General features: G+C 39.4%; 1 protein-coding gene, 1 non-coding gene and 1 pseudogene across 7 annotated transcripts in view; 1 reads left to right on the forward strand and 2 right to left on the reverse strand.

The window, feature by feature from the left end:
* Positions 1–26,067, reverse strand: part of FHIT (fragile histidine triad diadenosine triphosphatase) — a 1,504,176-nt gene that overhangs the window by 845,635 nt on the left and 632,474 nt on the right. The window lies entirely within an intron of this gene.
* MTERF1P1 (MTERF1 pseudogene 1) lies at positions 21,239–25,190 on the forward strand (annotated as a pseudogene).
* Positions 24,894–24,959, reverse strand: MIR548BB (microRNA 548bb). The gene has a single exon (NR_128708.1). It is a non-coding gene; the product is annotated as a microRNA 548bb (primary transcript).

Below are 26,067 nucleotides of genomic sequence, written 5' to 3' on the forward strand. Positions count from 1 at the left end.
CCTGGGATATAGCACTGTCTTGATGGTTATAGCAAAGGTCCCAGTGGCTGTGCCTGGCTTGAAAGAAGTCAACAGCAGCAATAGCAAAGCTTGACCTCAAATTGATGGCACAGACAGGCATAAAGAGAAGCCTGCCCATCGCTGGGTATCCTGAAGACCTTTCTCCAACATCTAGGGGGAAAATGTGGGCTTTCATTCAGTGGGCAGAGCCCACACTTTCATTTTGACTAGAACATACATTCTGAGTATGTAATCTTCTATTGGTTAAACTTAGTTATACTCTCTCACTTTGTACCCTTAACACCACATACAAGACTGCTTTTGATAAGGAATAAGGACAGGAGATCCTTTTTTGTCCTCCAACTAGCCTGCAAAAAAGTATTACTGTAGATTGATATTGTATAATATTACAAAGAATAGCACTAGCCCAGGTGACCTGACACTTCTCTATAATAATTTTCTCTGGCACATTAATTTACACTTGCATGCATATCACTGAAGAAAGGTATTTGGGGTTTCTATCAGGACAATAACAGGCTTGAAATTAGTGTTGAAAAACATTCACAGCCAGGATTTCACCCCCTGCCCCTGGGTTCTCTATTTTAGCTTTCTACATTGGCAACTTTCAACTTTTGCTGCTCAATGCAAATAATAACTAGCTTAATGATTTAGAAGAAAATATTCTTGGAGTATGTTATAGTCGTATGTTAACTGCAAATGGCTGCCACCTCCAAATAATTGTCTGACACTATGTCTGACTATCTGTTCCTCCATTCTATTGATCTCTCCTATGAACAAAGCAGACAGATATGCAGGTACAGCTCTTTTAGGAACAAATTGCCCTTTCTCCAAGCTGACATCTTTAGAATTAAGAACTCAGAGACAGCCAATGTGGAAAAACATTTCTCCCCTGCCACATGCTTGGTGGGTCAGAAAGTCAATCAAATTCTATTTCACAAAAAAAACTAATTCCTATGAGATGGGAGGCTGCATTAATATTTCTAAGACCAAATATTCTCCCTCAAGTAATATAAATTTATAGGTATAACTTTTCCCAATGCTCTATCGACTTCTCATGGTATATGAAAGTAATTAGGCTTCTCTGAAAGCCAGAGCTGCGTTGAGAACTATATTTGAGTAAACACAAAAGAAAAGCATTTTGAGTGTTACTTTTAATGTTTCCAGAAAAGTTAACACCTATAAAAATATTGTTTCCAGTTTTCTGTATAGAAGTCACTGAAGGAGGATGTGTGAAAGTCTGTGGAAACAGTACACTGGCAAACTGCCAGCTGGAATCGCACGGAGCTCTGTTGTAACTCAAATCTGGCCAGGCCGCAAGTCAAAGCATGTCCTAAGAAATATAGTACACACATACAGCGAACACAACCATTGTAACTCTAGCCCATGGGAAGCTGAACATTCAATGGACAGTGTCCAGACTATATAGAAAAATAGAACACTGACCCACCACCTGCAGAAACCAGTCGAGGAAACCACAACTTTTGCAGCCATCGGCCCCAAATGGTTGGTACTTAATCAACAACTGCCAACTTCCCCAAGTGTTGCCCCCTGCATCCAACACAGGACCAACCAGTGAAAGCTGACTCTGATCACATAGGACATCTGGCTTCTAGGTTAGCCACCTCCAGCTTCCTGTGCCAACAGCCTCAAGTCAGGTCACACCTGAATCCTCCTCCTCCCTTCCCTCTCCTCTCCCCTTCCAACACTATAAAGGGTTTTCTATTCCCCTACTTCCTTTTGAGTCTTCACCAGCCACATGTGATGATGGCTGCCACCCTTGTTCTAGAAAGCCCAGAATAGCCTCTGCTTCTTCTCATTTGCATTGCTTTTTCCCCCATATCTGGTTCTCCCTGGGGGCCTTCTATCCTGCCTGGGCCCTCTGCTAGGAGTTCCTTAACTTTTCCCTTCTCCATCCTGCAGCATCTTCATCCTTCCCTGCTTCCAAGGGCTGTGTTTCTGTAGATGAACTGTTTCTCCCCTATTTGAGGCCAGTCCTTCCAACTGTATTCTTTCCTCATTATTTCTATTCCTTCTTCCTGGACCTTTTGTTTCCACCTGTTGTATCCCTTGCTGTGTTCCTCACATGCCACTGGGACAGCACAGAAACAGTCCCAAGGCGTCTACCTGGCCAAGCACAGTGGAGCTACTGTGAGGACAGGATATAAAGAAGCAACAGTCTGGCCTCACCAAGAAAAGGGAGCATTACAGATTGATTCATCTGCATTACATTTCAAGCCAAAGTTGAACAGTCTAGATTTGGATGCAAAGAGAACAGAGAAAAAAGCTAGGAGCCAATAGCAACCAATTCAGGGGTCAGAGTGGCAGGCATCAAGAAAGTAGGATGGACAAAGGAGAGCCAACGAGGAGAAATTAGGGGAAAGCGAAACATCAGTAGGCAGAAGGCAATTGTACAGGATTAAGCCTGAGGACACCATGTTAGTCTTTTTTTTTTTTATACTTGGCTCCTGTAAATTGCAGTGAGCCATGTATTAAAGGGAAAGAACATGGAGGATCACCAAGCATTTCTGTCCTAAATATATACATATACATATAAATATGTATATATGTGTGTGTGTGTATATATATATGGACACACACACATATATATGTGTGTGTATATATGGACATATGTGTATATATATATACGCACATACGTATGTGTATATACGTGTAGATATATGTGTGTATGTATATATGTGTGTGTGTGTGTATAGTGTGTGTATGTGTGTATTTTAAGAGACTAGGTGTCACTCCTGTTGCCAGTGCCGTCGTGCAGTTATAGCTCACTGAAGCCTCAAACTCCTGGGCTCAAGTTATTCTCCTACTTCAGCCTCCTAAGTAGCTGTAACTACAGGCATGCACCGCCATGCCTGGCTAATTTTTTTTTAAGAGATGGGGTCTTGCTGTGTTGCCCAGGCTGGTCTTGAACTCCTGGCCTTAAGAGATCCTCCCACAGCACGGGAATTATAGGTGTGAGCCACCATGCCTGGTCCCATAATATATTTTCCTTTGCAATACAGTCTATAGTTAACATCCAAATCCCATGCAAAGTATAATAAAACACCTCTTACCAGCTTCTTCTAGGGCTCAGAAAAACTCTCTTCTCTCCATTTTTGCCTCCCTTCTGATTTCTCCATTATTATTGCTCTATTAATTCTTCTTTCTTACAAATAAAAGTATACTTACCCATTATGAACTTTTAAATAATCAACTTCTTTTTCTCCTGTAATTAACCAAAAAAGTTCTTGGAATAATCTACTAAACACCCAGTCTCCACTATCTCCTCAGTCAAATACAGTGTTGGCTTCTTCCCTAGGCCATTCTTAGAGAATTCCTCTCCAAGGTCATTCGAGCCCAAACCTCATGCCCTTCTTCAGCACGCACAGGCTGCAGGCTCTCCTGAACCACCTTGAAGTTCTCCAACCTTGGCCTTGCCGACACTGCACTAGCCTTTGGGATCACCCTTTTTCAGCTCAGCTATTTTTCATTCTTTCACTCCTGCCCATCCCTCTTTTATCATCCCTCAGTCTCATCTGCAATGGAAACATGACCTAATCTCCAAAATCCTTTCCAATTGCTATCTCCTTCTGGATCTCCAAAACAGACAAGATTGAGGCTCCCGTTTGCTGTTCTTGGTGTTTGAATCACTCCTGCAGCAATTTCCTACACAGTCTCATAGTAAAGGAATCTGCACCCCTGTATTCTACTTCTCACTGGGACTGTAAGCTCCTTGTGGGTAATGGCTAAATCTCATCCACCTTTATATCTCCAAGTCTAACAATAGTACTAGACACATCTCAGGTAGAGACTCTGGAGTGTGACTGCCTATAGAGAGCATGATAATACTTTCTATCTCATAATACAACGCCTAGCATGCTGGCTCTTACCATCATCATCAAGAGATGAGAGTTAAATTAAATGAACCTAATAATGTGAAGACAGATGTTAGTATTGTCCCCCTGTGCTGTTTCTACTGTATTTGATTTCAGATATTTTAGTGAAAAAAAATGTGCTTTGAACTATCTAGATGACACCAAAACTGAAATTTATCAGAGACCTCTGGTATTCTGTTTTGTGCAGACATACTGCTTCCCAAATTATTTTACACAGCACCATCCCCACCTCATTTCCTGTGCTTATGGACAACGGAGGCTTGCAGAATTAAAGTATGCCTATTTATTCCATAAGAAAATGGGAATAAATATTAAGATAATGGTTGGGGGAGGAGAAAGTGTACAGAAAATAATTAAGTCAAACTCACCCAACATTAACATGGGGGAGAAGAGATTTTTTTCAAAACCCTGCCTCCCTAGAGCCCTAAACCTTTTCATCGATTTCCAATAATAGTGAGAACTTTTGCTATAAAATTGTTTTACAGCAGCTAACAAGCAGTAAATGTTTAATCATTATACATACTTAGGAGAGCAGCATTGTTATTTTATAGATTTTAAAACCAGGGGCTCATATAGATCTAAGAGCTTTCTTCTTGCACCTAGAAAGCAGCAGAACCATACCTTGAACTGTAGTTTTTCAGACTCAGTTCTTACCCGCTGTCATTCATATCCATACCATTCTCCAAAAGACTCATGTAAGAAAATAATCACCATGCAAAGAAACCATCCAGCTCTTCATGAAAAGCTCTAGTTCAGTCTCTAGGAGGACCCAAATGACAGTGAAGTCTAAGTCTCAGTCTCTAATGCCAAGGAAATGTCAGGGAATTAAGACCCTCAAGTGTGAACATGGGAGGGTAACTCAGGCTCCTCTTCTAATAAAGTCTAAATGGGAGTTCATCAAACTGTTTAAAAGCCGATCTTATCAACCTAACTAAACCTAATTCTTCTTGCTTTATCTGAAACCCTGTTTTAAAGTTCAAAATGACCAAGCTATGCAATTTGTATGCAGAGAAGCTAAGCAGCTGAGAGATATTGAGCCAGGACTCTCTGTCTAGTAAGTTAGAGGAAGAACAACAAAAGTAGATTGCCAGATACAAAGAAATAAGCAACATCAGAGAGATACCAAATAAAAGAATGTTGACAGCTCTTGGCTTCAGGAAAGCCAAGAAGAATCATACATTGAGGAATTGGCATTTGAGCGAAGGAGGTTTAGATCATATTCTTTCATCTTGAAAGTATAAAAAGGTCTGGAAAGATGTATCATCCTAAGCACCCACCATCGAAGTTAGATAGCAGCAATTTAATTCCAGCCTTCATATTGGAGAGCACATAGGCAACTTAATATTCAGAAACAAGATTTGGGGGGACAATTTAAAGAGAGGGCATTTTCCAGATTAATGGATACAGCTGAATAAATGTGTTCTTTGCTTTAAAAATCCCTCAAAATAATTAGCAGGAAAGGTAGCGATCAAGCAAAATGTTGACTATTTTTCAAGCTGTGTTTTCTCTCCTCTCAGAATTATTAATAAACTTACCATATTTTGGTTAAAATATTTGCTCACAAGGAGTATTAATTTTCCTAAAATGAATAGGGTTATAATATTTTAAAATGTATTTCACCAACAGCAATTAATTTGTGTTGAGTGTTTGAGGATAGATAATTCCACTGGGCAACAAAAATCACTTAATCTTCCATGTTGTTGCAAGAGCAAAGAAAAGCAACTGCATTTTAAAAGTTTAATTAGAAGTAAAAGCAAGTTTATATAATGATATATCACACTGCTAGCAAGTAATAAAGATAAACATCCTCGCATATTATCAGCACCAAAAAACAGTCAAATTTCGCTTTGCTTACAGATTGCAGAAACTTCTATAGTATGAAATGGCTTTTTCAGATACCGCTTCTGAGTTTGGTGGATTTTTTTCCCAAGAACTTGTGGTTAGGATAATTTGAGGGATTACAGTGTAGACAGTGACATTCCCTTGTATTTGAGAGAAGTTTGTGCAATTCAGACATGACTGTGTTTGCTTTTAGCAAACATACTGTTCACATTTTGAGAAAAACTGCTGATGCAGTCTGGTGAAAGTGTTCTAGCAATGCCAAATCACTGACAGATGTGCTGTCTGCCAAGGGATTTCCCTAGGAATGTTCTAATTTTCTTCTATCTGTTTAGAGAAAGTTCGTTTAAAATCTGTTAAAATGTATTAATGTGCAGTGTTCCATTGTATCTTGCTGTGGGCATACTAGCAAAAGAAAAGTTACAGGAAGATTGGTACTGGGGTGCCTACCAAAAACTTGATCCCGCCAGATCAGAAACCTGCCCAATCCTCGATCTTACAGAAGGGAGAGCTCATATACTCTGTAATAACTTGCATTGTCTATAATTTTATTGTGTTAGAACACAAAGGGGCTCACTATTCTTCCAAACTCATTTAAAAATATACCTGCTGTTGAAACTGCAGTCTAGAGAGATTAGGTGATATATCCACAGTCACAGTCAATTGGCCAGTGACAAACAATGTGGTCACCTGCAAATATCAATAGAATTAAGAAAACAAAAGGTAGTTCTTACCAGTGAGTTTTGCATGAAGGATGTGAGGCTCAAAGATAAGATACTTTGAGTACGGATCTAAAATTTTTATTTGTTACCAAATCAATGTTTTCTATATTTCCTAAGGTGACTATTAAGTCGGAGTCAAATATCAGAAACATCATCACAGTTATAAACTTAACCATTGTGGGGAAGATTAACATGGCTTTCATTAGTGAATTAAAATTGACTTCTGCATGTTGGTACAACAGTAAGACAATATCACAACTGTACTCCCAAGGAAGTAAAATGCTAAAAAGGACAAGTTAAAAAAAAAAAAAGGAATGCAATACTACCAGAAGTCCTAATGGTACCAGCACATACACACTGTCCCACATCAATGAGAATGCTCACCTACTGCCTGAGAAGTATAATAATGAACAGCTATCGTTCTTGCCCATCTAAACTCCCTTTCTTTAGGGCAGGAGTTCTTGACCTCAGCACTATTGACATTTTAGACCACATAATTCTTTGCTGTGAAGAGCTGTCTGTGTACTCTAAGATATTTATGGCCACTACTTACTAGATGCCAGCAGCATCTCCTTCCCAGTAGTGACAACCAAAAATGTATCCAGATGTCGCTAAATGTGTTCAGATGGGGAAAGGGGAGATATAAAATCACTCCCTTTTGAGAAACACAACTTTAAGGAAGCAGCCACTTCCTCACTGTACTGGTAGGGCTGCCATTCACATCATATGCCCAGAAGGCACTTAGAGCTCAGTAATCTCATGGCCATGGCCTTCCCAATATCCACAGATCCATCCTGCTAAAGGCACCAATGATCAGCTCTTCTCTGGGACTTGTTCTTTAATTCCATATCCTACACAACACTCTCCCAAACCTCTTTTTTCCATAAGTTATTCAAAGTTGGGTCTGCTACTTACAAACAAGGAAGCCTACTTGATTAAAAAAAAATAAGCAGCAAAAATAATTGTTTTCATTTGTGTAAGAAAAAAATAGTGCATCTGTCATAAACTAATAGTAGAGTAAGGCAGGATTACAGAATCACACTCCCCACCTCCACCCTGCAAGAAACTAATTTTTAAAAGTAAGAAAATGATAAGGATTTTAAAAAGCTAATACCTTACCCAACACCTATAAAACCAATAAAGTGGTATAAGCTTTGCTATAAATTTTGAAAGCCTAAGAAAAGAAAACAAAGATTCTGATACGTCAGCCCCACCAACTCACCCTAATCCAACCCTACACACACCCAGAAGCGGTACTAATCAAAGAAGGTAAGTAGACAGATTTCTGAAGTTTCTCAGAACTACCCTAAATATGAAAAGGTATGGACTGACAGAAGGGGAGTGATGAGGCAAACCCAGACAAATTCGAGAAAAACAACTTTGTTATAGAAGCTCCTACATGTCCTTTTGAGACCTTATCAGGACTACAGTACATATTATAGATGTTCTTTTTATGAGAAGATGCCCCCTCTGGGCAGACCAAATTAGAAAAATGCATCCCTCTCATGAGCGGATGCAACAGCCCTGCACCAAGCATGCTTTTTTGGAGGCAGAGCACAGACTGGAATTGAGCTCCCCTTCCGGGCCCCTCACCTATGTTTCTCCATTCAAGGACAACCTGCACACAGCAGCAGTTCACAGCAGCCCTGCCAGCAGAGGCTGGAAGGGTCCCCAGAGTTTGTTGACTTCCACAGCAATGTGCCAAGTGACAGAACCTTTGAAAGCCCAAAGACTGCAACAATGCTGGTTGAGGAATGGGCCCAGGGACAGAATATTAATAGGATCTCGGAAGATACAGCAGGGATCAGGTCGCCCAGTGTGGGCTGCACCCTGCTTCCCCACAGCCTTCTCCACCCTCACCCTCCACATTTCCTACCGCAGTGGCTTCCTAATGTCAGCATGTTTCAGAGCTGCCTGAAAGCCTTGTGATAAAACAGGTTACTGGGCCACATCTCCAGAGTTTCTGATTCAATGTGTATGAGGTGAGGCCCACAGATTCCCCCTGTTAAATGATGTTGCTGGTCTGAAGACCACATTCTGAAAATCAGTCATCTTTAGAAAAGTATGTAAAAAGCAGCAGCTAGCCCTCAAACCATAGCTCAGAATAGGGAAGACAAACTAGTGTCAAGGAACTTGAAATCAAGGAAGATGAAGATCAACTCACACCAGTTAAGAAAAACAACAATAACAAAAACATAAAACACCCATCTTAATAGTGAGCAGGATAAAAATAAAAGGCATGACTACCATGCAAACTTACTACCTGAATGAGGAGAGGGTGGGGAATGGCAGAAAGAAAATAACAGAATGTAAAAGACAGATGAAGAACTCAGCTGGAAGAAAATGTAACTGAAATTAAACAACAGTTTCCTCATAAGTGTTTTATAATATTAAGGAAACTAAAAAGAATCTTCAATAACAGCTCAAAATTGAGAAGATAAAACACAAACAAGGTTTTGAAAAGGAAATTCCAGAGTTAAGGAAGTACTCTGAATATATTACATACCAATAAAAACTTAATTAATTCATTAGAAACAGAAATAGAAAAAGTCAAAGCTGAAAACTAAATTACCATGATGGAGAAACTCAAAATAATTTCACTGAATACCTGAGAAAAAAGGCAAGGAACTTGTTCAAGCAAACAAAGTAAGCATTAATTTGGAAGACAGATAGAGTAAGCCAAGAAAATCATCATCAGTGTCCCTGAAACACTGGACCGTAAAAAGAAAAATTCTCAGTTTTCACACAAAACATTTATCTAAAGTGAAGAAAGAACTGAATCCATGGGTGGAAATGATACAGTATCCTGAGAAAAATTTAATGATCAGCATTGTCATCCTAATTAAGCTATTACACATCAAGGATAAAACTAGAGCTGTTCAAACATCTAAGAAGAAAGCAAGTCAATTACAATAGGGAAAAGAAAATCAGCCTGGCCTCACACTTTCTACAGCAACAGCCAATCTCGGAAAACCATGGAGCAATGTCTAAACTTCAGAGAAAAAGAAAAGGTGACCCAAGAATGTCCTATCAGCCAAGTTGTTATTCAGGTATAAAGGTAATAGGTAGATATTCTCAAAAGTGAAAAATCTCAGAGAATATAACCTTCATGAAACCTTCTTGGAGAGAAAAAAAATTGCTTGATGATGAAAGGTACCCAGCTAAGAGATAAATAAAAAGAAACAATCCTGGCATCTAGAAACCATGGTAAAAAGACTACCAGAGCTGGATCCAAATAAAAATACAACCAGGACTAAACAAATGGGAGAATGACATTTGCAAAACAGAATGAGGATGTTATGAGCCTGTGCAATGGACTGAATACTTATGTCTTCTCCAAATTCATATGTTGAAATCCTAACTTCCAAGGTGACAGTATTAGGCAGTGGAAGTCATGAGGGCTCCATTCTCATGACTGGGATTAGTGCCTGTATAAAAAAGACCTCAGAGAGCTAGCTAATAGCCCCTTGCACTAGGTGAGAAAATAGCAAGAAAGTACCATCTACTCATGAGAAAGCAAGCCTTTGCCAGACACCAAATCTGCCGGTACCTTGATCTTAGACTTCCCAGTCTCTATAACTGCAAGAAATATATTTCTGTTGTTTATGAGCTACCCAGTTTATGGTATTTTGCTACAGCAGCCCAAACAGACTAGGACAGCCTGTCAGGGTAAAAATAATATGAGCAACATAGTTTGAAGGTAGTAAGAGAGGTAGCTGGAAAGAAATTAGAAATCAATCATGTAATCTCTCCTAGTGAATAACATCTAAAATTGGTGTAGTTAAAAACTCATAAAAACTCCAACTTTTGAATGTTTTTATATTTTTTCTTAACCTTTAGAAAAGTCTTTAGGAACAAATAGCTTTAATGGTGAAAAAATACATAGCTGAAGCTCAACAATTCCTTGGATTTCACTTTCAGTTTCTTTTTCTTCTGTTAAATTCAGGTAAAATTAAATTTAACATCTTTATTGATAAAGCAGATATATTATGATCTCTGAATTATTCTCATCCTTACAATGTTAATTCTTACTATCTATCCATTTTACTATCTTCCTATCTGTACATGTGTATTAAGAGATGTTTAGAACGATGCTCTTCAACTGTTCAGAGGGTATTTCTCGGTGGTGGGATTTAGGGTATTGTGTTGCTTTCTTCTGTATAATTTTGTATATTGCCTACATTTTTTAATGATGAGCATAAGTCACTTGTAAAAATATACAATCACCACTCTAAAAAGGAATACATGAAATATAACACCACTTTTCTGACACAGTGAGTATAAATGTATCTCTTTCAATGAGCAACATCATAAAGTGCCTCTCTGGGTAAGGCATCATTGTGAATATCCACCCTCATTGCAAAGTACACTAGAAGTGAATGATACGTAAGAATGAGTAGAATGTATCCAAGGCAATAACACTATAAGGCTCTGTTTCATTTTTGTAAATAGATCTCTGGCTTAGGCTCCTTTAATTAGCAGTACCTAACATTTCCTGAGCATTTGCTATGTGCCCGGCTGCATGCCACCATACTTTATAGGTATTTTGTTATTTAATTCTCACAGTAACTATAAGGTAATAATAATAATGGTGACGAAGAGACTAAGAACAGCTCAGAGTTGTTGAGTGTCTACTATGTACTAGGCACTGCTCCAAGTGCTTTTCAGGCAATAACATTCTTCAGTAGGAAGTACTTATAGCAATGGGAGTACATTGTGCAGCAGAAGAGAAGGCTATCAAGGCCAGCTTTTAAAAATACAAGGATTTACATTTAGTACAGTGAGAGAAAGTGCACAGGTGAGTCTGGCCTTGTGTAGAGAGAAAACATAAAGAGAAAAAACTGGCAGAACCACGCAATTAATTAAGTACTTTTGACCACAAAAGTGAGGGGAATCCAGGGTAGAGCAGGACTCCGACCAAGAAGATATAAAGGCCTTGGTCAGCTTCTGGTTGTCGTGGAAATGGGATTTCAACCATTATAATGAGATCAAATCATATGCTAACAAAGAAATCAGTAATTAGAGTTGGGGCCACCCACAGAGCTCACCTCCATCTTGGGATAAGATCTAGGAAGAGCCAGACATGCATTTTTGCCGCAGATAAAATCCCAAAAGGAAAGGTTTTAAGTATGAAAGGGTTGGGCTGAAATAACATACTCAAGAATATTGCTATTCTGAGTGTTGCTTCTGCTTCCAGCTCTGACCAGGTCACTGCAGATAACAAATTATGTCATTTCTTATAGCTCTATTCCACTCATCAGCTCCCCTTCTATGCAGGAAGGAGCATGAAATGGGAAAAAAACCGAGGTTCCCACTCTTGGTGTCCTAAGTGATCAGCCACAGGAAGAAAAAGATCTCTGCTCATTTTCCCTCTCACTTACTATTGCCCAGGAATCTTGGATCTCTTCAGAATAGTGGGCAAACTGAGAGAAAGCAAGTTCATTTAATCCTCAAAACAACCCTATAGATTCCATTCTGTTATCATCATCCCCATTTCACAGATTTCACAATGGACAGGGAGGAGCAGCATTGAAGGGATCAGTAACCTGCCCAAGGTCCATTTTAACACAAGAGCTTTCTGACTTCATTCAGGCTCCCCTCTCTGTGATTGTGATTTCTCTCATGTCTAAACCATTCACATTTTTTAAAATTAGGATTTCTATGCTTAAGTATGTACCTTTGTTCACAACTAAGTTGAGGATTCTATACTCAAACACACACACACAGAGAGAGAGAGAGAGAGATGCAGTTGATTTTCCCCAATACTAATGTCCATGAACTGAAAGCTTAGGCAATAACTTAGTATAGCCACAGCTTTGGTTTGGTTCAGTTCTAGGGTACTGCTTTGCAAATTAAAGGTGTAATCCCTTCAAATCACTGCAATAAAAGTGATTTGAAATCATACTATTTGCAGTCATAATAGAAACAAATGCCTACTTAACTACTCATGGCTCAGCTCTGGTGAGAACACATCAATAGAGTAAAATGCTTTTAGCTTTCCAGAGAAAGGTTCCACCTGACAGATACCAAGAGATCAAATATTCACTCCGCTTAGGACAAAGAAGTGTACGGATTAGGACATACTTGAGAAGTCAGTTTCAGAAGGCACCAGTTTAGAAAAGAACCCTGAAAGACCTCTACCATTTATTTATATTTCAATGTATTCATTCCATTTCTTCCTATGTCTTTTCATTCATTTGTTTATCTCCTTGGTCTGTGTGCTGCAGGCTAAAACTACAGCAATTAAACACAAGGTCCTTGCATCCAGGAGTTCTTCTCAATCCAGTAATGGAAACAACTAACATCATATACTATTTTGCTTTATTTTCTGCTAGAGGTACGGACAGGAGGTGCTGTGGGAACACAGCTAATGGGGCACCTGGTTCTTGCCTATGAGAGTTTTGAGAAGGATACCTGAAGTAGGGTTTAGAAACTGACCATCACAGGGGATGGGAGAGGAGGAAAGATAAAGTTATAAGGAATTCTCAAACTTTGAACATGTGAATGTCCTATATGTATCTGTAAATAGTATATAAAAACACTATAGTATCTGACTGCTCTGTCACAGATGAAAACCTTCAAAGAGAAGCTGATCATAGACACAATTATAGAAACCAGGGGATGTTATCTCGCCCAAGTCTGCCTGACTACTTTTAAGGATGCTAAATTCCTAATCTCTCAAGGATGACATTCTTCTTGCCCCAGAGTGTGCTAGAGCCAGAGGGACCAACTCTTTCTCCCTAACTTCCTACCCAACAAAGAATCCTCCTCTACAATATTCCTAATGGATGTTTACTATAGCAAACATCACTTGTTCAGTTTTGGTTCCTCAGTCCCTATTCCCTCATTGTAATAGCATTTTTTTTTTTTTTGAGATGGAGTCTCGTTCTGTCACCCAGGCTGGAGTGCAGTGACGCAATCTTAGCTCACTGCAACCTCTGCCTCCCGGATTCAAGTGATTCTCATGCCTCAGCCTCCCAAGTAGCTGGGACTACAGATGCCCACTGCCATGCCCAGGTAATTTTTTGTGTTTTAGTAGAGATGGGGTTTCACCATGTTACCCAGGCTGGTCTCAAACTCCTGAGTTCAGGCAATCTGCCCGCCTCAGCCTCCCAAAGTGCTGGGATTACAGGCGTGAGTCACCGAGCCCAGCCTGTGATAGCATCTTGATTCACTTTTAGGGACTTTTCTCCTATTATAAGCCACCATTAGGATAGTGAATTGGGTGCCTTTTCATTCCACTCCAGAATTTGAGGTCCTGGAGACTTCTGGTATATTTTCTGCTGTAATGGAAAAAGGATGAGCATGTGTCCTAAGCTCAGTTAATTGGACCTTCTCTTCCAGGGCTCTGAATCCTAAGAAGAGTGACATGCCACTCACTCACTCATTGCTGTAATGGCTTCTTAATAGCCAAGTAGACTCCATCTTGATACTTTCCTGTTTCTAAGCCTAGTCCCTCCTGCCCGCATCTTGATTCTGTTAACTCCCCGATATCCTTCTATTTGTAACAAATTCCTTTTCTACTTATATTAACCTCAGTCTCTGTTACCTGCTTCCACTGGAACTCTGATTCTGCTTGAATCCTTCCATTAATGGGAATATTACTACATTGAGAGGCTGCTCATTCCATTGCTGGACCTCTATATTTGTTTCAAAAGTTGTTAATTCAAGCTAAAGCCGGGTTCTCTATTACTAGTGTCTGTCATCAGGAATTAGAAAGAATAAATTTTAGTCCCTCTTCCATATGGCAGTCACTATAGTATCCAAGGAAGGGCAAATAATCATTGATAACCACACCACTAAAGCCCTTCTCCCAGCTGAAAACCACCAGGGTTTTTATAAATCTTCTAGAATAATATAAATTTTCAGACACCACAGAAATAGAAGCTTTGAATTGCCGATGAGCAGATTAATCATTTTCAGATGGTCTCAGGGAACTAAACAGTCACTTCCTCGGTGGGCCTCTTTCGAAGAGGGCACTTTCATGTTTATTACTTGCAAGGGTTGGCAAATGGTAGAATTCTTTTTTAGGATGATAAGGATTTATATTTCTATCTAGTCTGCCACTAATTAAAAGTATATTATCTTCCCTACTGAAGTTGGGGTAATTGGTGGTTATTTTCAGAGCAACTCATCAGGGTGAGACAGATTCTTTCTGATTGAGGTAGCAGAGGTGTTGAACATTCATTGTGTACTGAGTTCACGTTTCTAGTATCACAATTTCCCACACCACATGCGTGATAGATGTGTCTTCAACATTTGCAAACAATTCCAAGTCATTTCTCCCTTCAATTATTCCCTCTTCTCTGACATCCTAACAAGGTTTTCATTTTGTACTAATTTCACTAATTTAGGAAAACTTTTGTCTGCAATACATACATATACATATATACACACATATACATATATACACACATATAAACATATATGTATATATATTCATATTCTTGAGAAGTAGGCCAGAAACTTGGCTTGCTGTGAAAATCAGAGGGGAAATAAAAAGGATGAATGGAGAATAGTGTCTATTCCCTTTGGCACTTCTTACCTAATACTCAAGCCCCTTACTTGCTGAAACTCAAGTCTTCTCCTCCCTGCTCCCACTTGCCTTATATCTTCTCTCAATGAGTGAGGATTAAGGGCAGGTACTTCTCCCATTCCAGAGAAGCAGCAGCTCCATCTGGAGCACTCTGCCTCTTTCTGATGGAGCCCTCAGGGGTGTACACTGTAATGTCCATCTTCCCTCGTCTGCTCACGCAGAGGACAAGACTCTCACTCTCACCCTCTTTCTTTCCCTATCTAATTTTCTCTCCTTTCTCTCTCTCTTTCCTCTTCATTTCTAGTGGCCACCAGCTCTGAAGGTAACATCCCAGCCTGAGTAGGCCTGAGCCAATTATTCTAGACCAGAATCAGCGGGGGTAAACACAAACACTCTCATTCTCTAGCTGTTTCCTCAGGTGCTATGGCTGTTCTGGACTGTTCTCCCCTTCCACTGCTCAGATGATATATGACACTCAATTACAGTTGAAGAGAAATGGATCAACTGCTCTAGATCCAGGCCCCTGAAGCTACTTTAATATGTACATAAGTGTTCACCAGAGGTTCAGTCCAGCTCTCTGGGGTGCTACATGGGTGCAGAAGGTCCAAAGACCCAGCTAATAACGAAAGTTGACTTAGCTTTTATTTAGCCTCCTTTATTTTTTTTCCCACCAGGAAAAAAAGGAGTTGGGTCAAACAGGAACTGGGCCCAATATCATTACAACAATACTGCAAGGTCCCCCTTCATCCCAATGCCACAATCTAGACTTTGTTTTTAGGAATATATTTTAGGAATAATAAATACAAAAGAAAAAATAAATCCTAAATTATGAACATCGTTATTTGGTTTTGCAAGTCAGTCAAAGTCATGTAAAGAGAGAGACCTAGTCATTATCAGGAAATAACTATCTTGAATTAGTCTGTAACAATTTCTTCTCATTGAGTATTTTTGTGTTTCCCTTCTCTTCATAATAGGTAACATGATTTCCTACTTAAAACGGTGGCAGAGTTTCCCTTAAAAACAAATTTATGTTTTAAAAGTCAGTTGATTCAAATAAATATTAAATATATGAATGCATATGCTGGTCACGCACAATTTGGAAAAAAAAAAAAAAAGTATATAAATGTCCTGGAGACTTCTGGTAGATTTTCTGCTGTTCCTACTCTGAATGGACATGGATCATTTTCATGCCACTTTGGGGATTGATGCATGACTCCTGTTGCTTCCAAACTGTCTCAAAAGAAAATAGCATTCCACCTGACAGCTGCATGAACTCAAGTCTTTCTCATGTATGGGAGGCATAAGTATGTCCATCCAACAAATCTGCCAGCATTGCCTTTATTCTGGTACTGTCTAAGGCTGCCTATTCCCTTCTGCACAGAGTTCAGCCTTTTGCTTCCTTTTTTATTTATTTTTTTTTTGAGACTGAGTCTAGCTGTGTCGCCCAGGCTGGAGTGCAGTGGCGCCATCTCAGCTCACTGCAATCTCCGCCTCTCGGGTTCAAGTGATTCTCCTGCCTCAGCCTCCTGAGTAGCTGGGATTACAGGTGTGTGCCACCACACCCAGCTAAATTTTTGTATTTTTAGTACAGATGGGGTCTAACCATGTTGGTTAGACTGGTCTTGAACTCCTGACCTTGTGACTCACCCACCTCGGCCTCCCACAGTGCTGGAATTACAGGCATGAGCCACCGCGCCCAGCCCTTAGCCTTTTGCTTCTTATGGAAAAGCATTCTTCATTGTTTTATTCACTAGGCTTAGGCAAGTACCACCCTAACTCTCAAATAGCCTTTCCATCTGGGCACCCTTCTTCATGATGTCTTTGTTCCTGGAATGTGCCTCAAAGGTCTGATTTCTTAGGTGCCAAGCAGAGTAAAACTTCTAATCTTCCTTCTATCAATCCGGAGTTCCTGCTATCTCAACAATATACTGCATACCCAAAGCACATGCATAAAATAAAGTTTATTACAACAAGACTTTGTTTACAGAAGAAAGATTAGACTGATTGAATACATTGTTCTACACTGATTTTAATTGGTGCTATAATCTGATCTGTCTCTAACCAGCTAATCGGTATTTAATCGGTTGCTTTAATTTTATTACAAGGCAGCTAGAATGCAGCTGTAGCTAGAGACCACACAGTAAATAAACTACATTATTATTATATTTATGCATATGAGTTTTATTCTGCTTGTGTCAAAATTATACTCACTTCCACTCCCCTCCTAATTTGTTTGTATTAAACCATTGCTGTGCACTTGCATAGTGGGAAGAGTTAAAAAATGCCTTTTTATTGCCAAGGGTAAGTTATGTGATAAGTTTCCAGATGTACCCACCTTCATTTGCCAAACAATCTTGTGATTGATTTAAATATTTATACAGTGCTTCAATTACTGACATTGTTTCTATTAATTAATGATATTAGGGTTTAATTCTACAGAATACAGAAATAGAAACAGAACAAATTCATGCACAAAAAAGCATCTGATATGATCACCCTGAATGTAGTTTCATGCTAGAGTTTCTACGCAATTCCCCAGAGAATGAAGCATACCAGCATTAATAAAACTCTAAGTGTTTTAGGGGCTTTGAACATGGGTGCGATAGGTTCCAAAGCCCTATGTAAGTATTTGAACAACTTGACCTTATTTCAGCTTCTTGAGAGAACTATTAGGGACAGTCACAGAATCAACATGAAAAATTATTAAGTACCCACATACTGCCTGCCTGAAAGGACTCAGACAACTACAGCAAACTTCGAAAAAATATTAATAATATCAAAACACCTTGCGGCTGCTCTTTTAGATCGCTGCACATTTTTAAGATGTAATTTACTGGAAGCTCTCTTTTGCTCTTTCCTGTCATTTCAGTTATGCAAGAACACAATGCTCTCACCCTACGCCAGTCTGGAGAGCTTTGCTTTTCTCTTGGGAGGAGGCATGGTGCAATGATGAGAAGAAGGGCTTAGCAGCAGGCCGACCCTGGCTCCAGTCCCAGCTTTTACATACTCCCTGAATGACATCAGGCCATGTACTCTTAAGCCTAAATTTCCTCATCTGTAAAATAGGAGTCATCACAGCTACTCTGATATTAGTGTGAGGATTAAATGAGACAACACCATAAGGCTCTAGCCAAGGGGTCCAGCTGTTCCTTTGGCTACTGTGATCTCAGGCTCATTTAGCCCAGTAATTGTGGCTCATCTCATAGTTGTCTTCTCATCCTGCTGAGATTCATTTATTTAACAAATGTTTATTGGGTACTGATGGGGGTGCCAAGCATGGGCTAGAAACCTGGAACACAACACTGAAGGTCCAGTTTGCAACACAAAGTCCAGTTGGTCCAATGAAAAAGAGGATTAGATTTGCCTTTTAACAAAACATTCCTAGGTAGATGTTTATGGTAAAGCTAACATCGAGCCAAGTATCACAGAAATATATGGCAGGACATTAATGCCTAGTGTTCCATTATAGGAACGCTAAGCATGTGGGAGTTATTTATAACCTACAGCTCAAGGTCATCACCAAGGTCTGATTTTTCACTCATGCAAAAATTCAAAAAACTGAAACCTCTGGCATAAACGGGTTAAGGAAGGGAAGGCCCCTTAGTCCAAGCCTTTCCTTATAAAGGTATGGAAAGAAACCATTGTTCCTCATCAGCATGAGAGCAATACGTGTTGTTTACATAGTATTTTGCCATCTGTGATGATTTTTATGTAGTGTAGGACAAGGACTTTCTAACGCTCGGCTCTATACTAGACCAGGTCCAAAAATCTACCTGAGTATCACTACCTCTGTCACTGAACTACTGTAACCCAATAACAGGATAAGATGGCTAACAAAAGATGCCCTCGTAGGAGGAACTATCCAGTAGTTTGATTTCATACTTGTCCTAAACCTTTAAACTTGTTCTACCCACATGTCACAGATATGGAGGTTAGTGAAAACTACCTGTGTGTGTACAGAGCAGCTGGGAGGACATTTTGGCTCTGTTCTAGGCAGTCATGTAGGGCCCCCTTACTTTGCTCCTGCAGAGGGTCCTGATACTGTCACTGTTCTGCTCAGCTTCAAAACTCTCAGCAGGATGTCCCATTCCTCACCTAGCCCTCACCTGCTCTACCTAATGATGCTCAATCACTGAACTGGCCCAGAAATAATACCTGCCTATCCTGACTTCTTACCCAAACCTGGGGCTACCTCCCTGACTGGCATCCTAGGGGGGCTCTCCATGGCCTTTAGTGAAGTGGTCAAAGAGAAGGGTCAACTCTTTATACAAAAGAAAAATGAGTCATGAGCTAACTGTGAAACTCTCAATAAGTCACATATTCTCTGATCTCCATTTCCCAAATCACACAAATTGAGAGCCATCTAAATTGCCTCCCAACTCTGAGACTCTATGGATATACATATATGAATCATCATAGCAAATATATATCTATTATAGAAGCTAAAGGAATCTTCTCACTTTCTCCAATTAGTACCAACTAGATTACTCCACAAAAGATACTTGACCTTGTTAAAACAAAAAGCAAAACAAAAATACTCTTTTACACTATTATCAGGAAATCTATGCCTGGCTTTAGCAGCAGAGTATAAATATTTGGTTATTGGATACTTTTCAATTTAGGGGAAAAGGTATATCTATTGCTTAAAAACATTTGTGCCCTTCTTATAGCCAGGTCACCCATTCCAAGTCTGAAGAAAATAAATTGAAGTGGTGGTAAAAGTTAGTTAAATTTCAGAATTTTTAAAAGAAGGGATATCATTCATCTCTGGCTAGATAACTCTGTAAAAGATCTATCTGTAAGAACAGAAAATGCTCTTATAAGAACTTTGAGACTAGATAAACAAATGCATGCCACACAGACCACCACTCCCATCTCCTCAGGCTGTGGCAGACATTATTAATCAATAACAGAATCCTTCCCACTATGTCTATACACAGCCTTCAAATGGCTCTCAATGCAGTATCTCAGGTAACTGCCAGCAACGAATCATATTTGGCATGAATGATAAAAGGTATTTGGAATCCCTGGCTTTATGACTTTGACTGTTACCCTGACTGCCATTTAGAGGATTAACAGCCAAGAATGTCACAGTGTCATTATTTAAATAAAATAGAAAGGGATCTTGCCTGCAGGAACATGCCTCTGAATATTAGTAGGGGATTTCAAGCTTGAAACTCTCCAGAAGTTTCTTTTTCATCACTCTAATGCTTGACTTTTTCTTCCTCTGCCCCCTCCTTCCTTATGAACTCTCAAGGATACTTACAGGTCAGAAGGGTCTTCAGGTTGAGTTCTGGCCAAAATTTGTGGCATTTCCAAGTCTCACTTCACTGAATGAGTACAACCCTGAGACCTGTCTGGGAACATGGAGTGAAACAGAAACTAAGAGAGCCACCACTGCTGAGGCAGGGAGGGATGGCCTGGTGATACACAGGAAAGGTAAGTGTGGCAGTGCAGTGAGAGATGGGCTGGGGAGTAAGGTAGACAAAAGGATCTAAAGAGTGGAGTCCAAAAGCACAATGATACAAAGTGAGTGAAGCTCAGGGTTTAGCAAGTTAACATGAAAACCCTAGCTCCTGAATGAAGAGTACCTTTTGCATGGAGCCTGGATTATCTTTTCTGCTTATATCTTTCTTTTCTCCTCCCTCCAGCCCTTCCCTCCTTCCTATATGCTCCATTTTCAACTCCCTTTATATTCCTTCATCTTTCTCTCCCTACTTCCTTTTCTTTAACTTCCATTTCTTTCTTTTTCAGTCATTCCTACATTTCCCTTTTTCTCTCATTCTCCTTTGTCTAAGCTTTAGACAACCCTGCTCACTAGCTCCTTGGCCTTTAAGAGCTTATAAGGGCTAAGGGGCTACTAGTAGCTTCTCCCCATGCAACATATCACACAGGTGTCTTGGAGGGACAAAGTGGGGCTTGAGACTCCTGGATGCTACACAGCAGAGGTAAGGGCTCAGGTACCCAAGAGAAGAAATCAATGAAGTAGGAAGCAGAGGTGAAAAGAGTATATCAGCTCAACAGGATCAACAAAGTCCAGGAACACTGTCAAAATAAGCTTGGCAGAAAATCAACAGAGCAGAGAACAGCATGAAACATGAAGTGATACAGGTTGTGGGTGGGTGGAGAAAGAGAAATACAAGGCAAGCAAAGTGGCAGCATTAATAAGCAGCCATGACTGGACACAGACCTGAAGATGGATATTAGGAAGTAGGTGCCCACTGAGAATGAGAGTAAAAACCAAAGTGATGAACTATGCCTTTGTAACACCTGACACAAAAGAAAAGAGGTATGCCAGTTAAATGGCAGCACCATGTACAGAAATGAGTAGATATTTCTTGGTTTTGCTTAATATCGCTCTGGAAGCACAGAATTCATGTTCTAAGACTTAAGAATAACCTAAACCAGCCCAGTGTGGTGGCTCACACCTACAATCCCAGCACTTTGGAGGTGGATGGATGACCTGAGGTCAGGAGTTTGAGACCAGCCTGGCCAACATGGCAAAACTCCATCTCTAATAAAAATACACAAATTATCTGGGCATGGTGGCAGATGCCTCTAATCCCAACTACTCAGAAGCCTAAGTCAGGAGAATTGCTTGAACCCGGGAGGCAGAGGTTGCAGTGAGACGAGATCGATCACGTCATTGCACTCCAGCCTGGACAAGAACAAAACACCTCAAAAAAAATTAATAAATAAATAAATAACCTAAGTCTATTTGGGTGCCAAAAAATGTGTATTCTATTTGGACATTACAGTGGATTGACAGCATAGAAATTATTTATTAAACCCATCCTACTGGACCTGAAGGTGAACCCCATCGTAACAGGGTGCCTGGTAGAGTCATTCTTAACTAGCCATCGATTTGTAAAAAATTGCAAAAGTTGTTTTTTTTTTGTTTTTTTTTTGTTTTTTTTTTGTTTTTTGAGATGGAGCCCTGCTCTGTCGCCAGACTGGAGTGCAGTGGCATGATCTCGGCTCACTACAACCTCCGCCTCCCAGGTTCAAGCAATTCTCCTGCCTCAGTCTCCCGGGTAGCTGGGACTACAGGCGCCCACAACCACGCCCGGCTAATTTTTGTACTATTAGTAGAGACAGGGTTTCACCATGTTGGCCAGAATGGTCTTGATCTCTTGACCTCGTGATCTGCCTGCCTTGGCCTCCCAAAGTGCTGGGATTACAGTAAAAATTTCTTATATCAAATGACCGTTCTTGAATTGTTACCTTGGATTAACAGGGAGCAACTATTGGCATTTCCATACAGCAATCTACTATCTGGGGATAATCTAGCTTTCCTGGAGGGATGGAAACAAAGTGCATAATGGTTGTTTACCAATCATATAATATCAGACACCAATAATTTGTCATTCACTCTAGTGTTCTACAATCATTAGAGGAGCTATTCAACTGCTCTCAGACATACCAGCTATGATCATGTAGGAAACGTGATTCCGTGGGCTGAATGTACCAACTCTTCACTAACATCTCAATACTCTAGACTGAAGTTAATGACCAGTGCAAACCACCAGAGTATTACAGTAAAAGAACAGCAGTAAAAAGGCCTTAATAAATCAGAAATTTAAATTGGCTATTCATTTTAGTTACAGCCATTCGTCAGAGCAAAGTGATGGTCCAATTCACCTATGCGGTAACTTACATTGATCATAACAGTACTTTAAGTAATATCATCCATTAATTTATTAAGCAAATATTTGAGTAATACCTACTATGTGTACAACCCTCTGCCAGATGCTGCAAGATATATTCAGACATAAAAGAAACAATCTTAACCTTTAAGAAACTTGTAATCCAGTAGGAGAAAAAGACATTTTGTAGAAGTCTTATTCAAATAAAATATGATTCCATAAGATAAGGCTCCATCTAAGCTCTCTGCATTGCAAAGCTGATGGCAAGAACTACATTTCCCAGAATACTCTTCCCTGGATGGTTCGAGTGAAGTTTACCAATAAGAATAGAGTGAGATGTGGAAGAAAAAGAGATAAAGAAACTGTTCTTTGGAAGTCAGACAAATGTGCACAAATGAAGTCTTCCTCATTGCTGTACATTGAGAGATGTCCCTGCTTTCCTTATCGAAACTCTGATCTGTCTATGAGTTATTAACACCCTTGTCAGTAATATCACTTGTCATTAGGTCACAATTCTTGGGACTACCATTGTCTAGGTTCTTCTATTCCACATGCTTTGTTTCTGTGCATGTTGAGTCCAACATGTGTGTATATTTTAGGTAGTGTCACCTGTTTGGATATCCACAAGACCTATTTACACAACACCTGTTACAAAAACTCACCCCAGATGTTTTCTTGTTTGTTCAGTTTAATTTATTATACAAATCTTCACATTTGAAAATATAAGCAAAAGTGATTCTAAGCCACTACAGGAAATTCACAAAAGCAACACCTGGTGTCAACATATTTCATCACATTTTAATGATTATGATGTGCACAGGTGTGCTGAAAGTTTCTCCTCCATACTCTTTGATTCTTTTTTAAAATTTTTTTAATTATACAAGTAATACACTTCTAGAACTAATAAGCAATCATAGCAAGCTTGTGGGACAAAAGTTAATATACAAAGTCAATTGTCTTCTTATTGCTAGCAATGAACAATTGGGACTTGAAATTAAAAACACAATACCATTTACATTAATGCCAAAAATTTAAATACTTAGGTATAAATCAAACGTGAAAGATCTATATAAGGAAAACTATAAAACTTTGCTGAAAGAAATACAAAAGATCTAAGAAAAAGGAAAGCTATCCACATACGCAGACAGGAAATCTCAATATTGTCAAGATATCAGTTCTTCTCAACTTGACCTATACATTCAATGCAACCTCAGTTTTAAAAATCCCAAGCCAAAGTAAAAGCCATCTACGGCACACAGCATTCCGAAAGGTTTGGGCTACCTGACTATTATGGCACCAAGAAATCTCTGGTATATGAGAACTTTCACTTTAATTCAAAATGTTGGATGACCTGATTTTCAGCAGAAATGCTCTTCAAATCAGTTTCACTTAGGCTTTTTGGTGTGAAGTGAAACGATGCAGACAATGAGCTTTGGAGAATGAGGAACCACTGAATAACTTACTATGGAAGTGGATACTGACATGGCAAAGAAACGACAGCCTGGAGTTTTTAACAGAATGTTCCCAATGAGCAGGACCTGAAGATGTTTCTTCGTTCCAAAGGAGCTAGCAAAGAAGTGATTGTTAGCATCATATCAAAATAACTAAAAGCTATAACACACACTCTTGAACGTCTTTCAAAACAATGGGATCTATGAAGGATTATGATATCAGATCTTGATACTGTAAATATTTTGGGCCATTCTCCTGAATGCTTTCTTTTGTCCCATGAAAACCTAAACTTAGGGATTCTATGAGTTCCTCTACTCAGCTGGATTTACCTGTAAATGCCTTTGTTGATTGTTGACCAATGTCCCTTGTACCTTTTCCAATAGTCTCGATCTGAATAAACAGATGGTTAAAGTTTTGCAGGAAGTATATTTTTCATTGGGTCACAATGATCCCACAGATTTTGTAAGAAAGATGATTTTTTAAAACCCTTTCATCTTAATTCAGGGTACCAAGCAGGTAAAAACTAACATTGAATTTTTACAGGCAAGTTTCAATTTGAACAGTAGGGAATTGCTATTTTAATATGTGGTCCAGGAACCAAAATCCTAGACCTTTCCAATGACTATGCCAAAACAAACTACACAAATATCAAACAGAAGCTGTTTTCTCTCTGAGGTACTGAAGAAGAGGTACAAAAGCTTGCCTTAAGTTATCCAGATGTGGGGAAAAAAAGTTATCCAGATGTGATCTTTTGGCAGAGAAAAAGTTTAGTGAGAAGAATATTTTAGCTTGGTGCAAAAGTAACTATGGTTTTTGGGCAAAAACCATAGTTACTTTTGCACCAATCTAATGGATTGTCTCATAGAATAATAAATTAGCCTTCTGTGAAAGTAATTTGTGATAACTGAAAAATCCTTGGGTTCTGGATTCAAGCATAAGTACTTTATAAAGTCAAATCAAAGAATTAGTAAATGCTGGCTGTAACTTGAGGACATCAAGCATCACTCTTCTACTCTGGAGTTAAAAAAAAAAGATACAAAGTAAATTTAAAAAGTTAAGCAGAACACTGGGGAATTTTTGAAAGCCAGTCATATAATGTAGTGGTATCTTTTCATTTTGAATTTGGGCCTTTCAAAAAGGAGGGGTATGATTTCTTAACCACAGATATATATATGTAATAATTCTTTGGCTATTTTGTTTTACAGGTTTATGGAAACTCATGGTTGATATGCTCAGGTGCAGTCCTCCTAGCTACCTATTTTCCAGTTTGAATTACTCCAACATACCATTATTTGATACAGGCTGTGCTGCTGTAGAGATGGTAGTGCCATGGTGATTTGCTACACAGATCATCCCATCACCTAGGTATTAAGCCCAGCATCCATTAGTTACTCTTCCTTATGCTCTCCCTCCCAGCAGCACCCCTCCAACAGGCCCCAGTGTGTGTTGTTCCCTCCATGTGTTGACGTGTGCTCATTATTCAGCTCCCTGTTGTAAGTGAGAACATGTGGTGCTTGGTTTTCCGTTCCTGCGTTAATTTGCTGAGGGCAAAACCTGATTACTTTGAAAACAAGTTCTACTGTGGCAGGCAGAATCATGGCCACACCTAAAGATGTCAACGTTTTAATTTGAAGAAGCTGCGAATATGTTATGCAAAAAGATTTTGCAAATGTGATTAAGTTGAAATTTGATTAAGTTAAGGGCCTTGAGATGACCTTGAATCATCTGAGTGGACCTAATATAATGCTAAGGGTCCTTAAAAGTGGAAGAAGGAGGCAAAAGAGGTCAGAATGATGCTGTATAAGACAGACTTGACCACTTTGAAGGAGGTGAAAAGGAGGCTTTGAAGAAGGAAGGGACCATAAGCCAAAGAATGCAGGGGGCCACAAAGAAAACTGAAAAGCCAATGAAACAGAATCTCCCCTAAAGGCCCCAAAAAGGAATGCAGTACGGCTGGT

This window comes from Homo sapiens, chromosome 3 (genome assembly GCF_000001405.40).
Source record: "Homo sapiens chromosome 3, GRCh38.p14 Primary Assembly".
Lineage (NCBI taxonomy): Eukaryota > Metazoa > Chordata > Mammalia > Primates > Hominidae > Homo > Homo sapiens.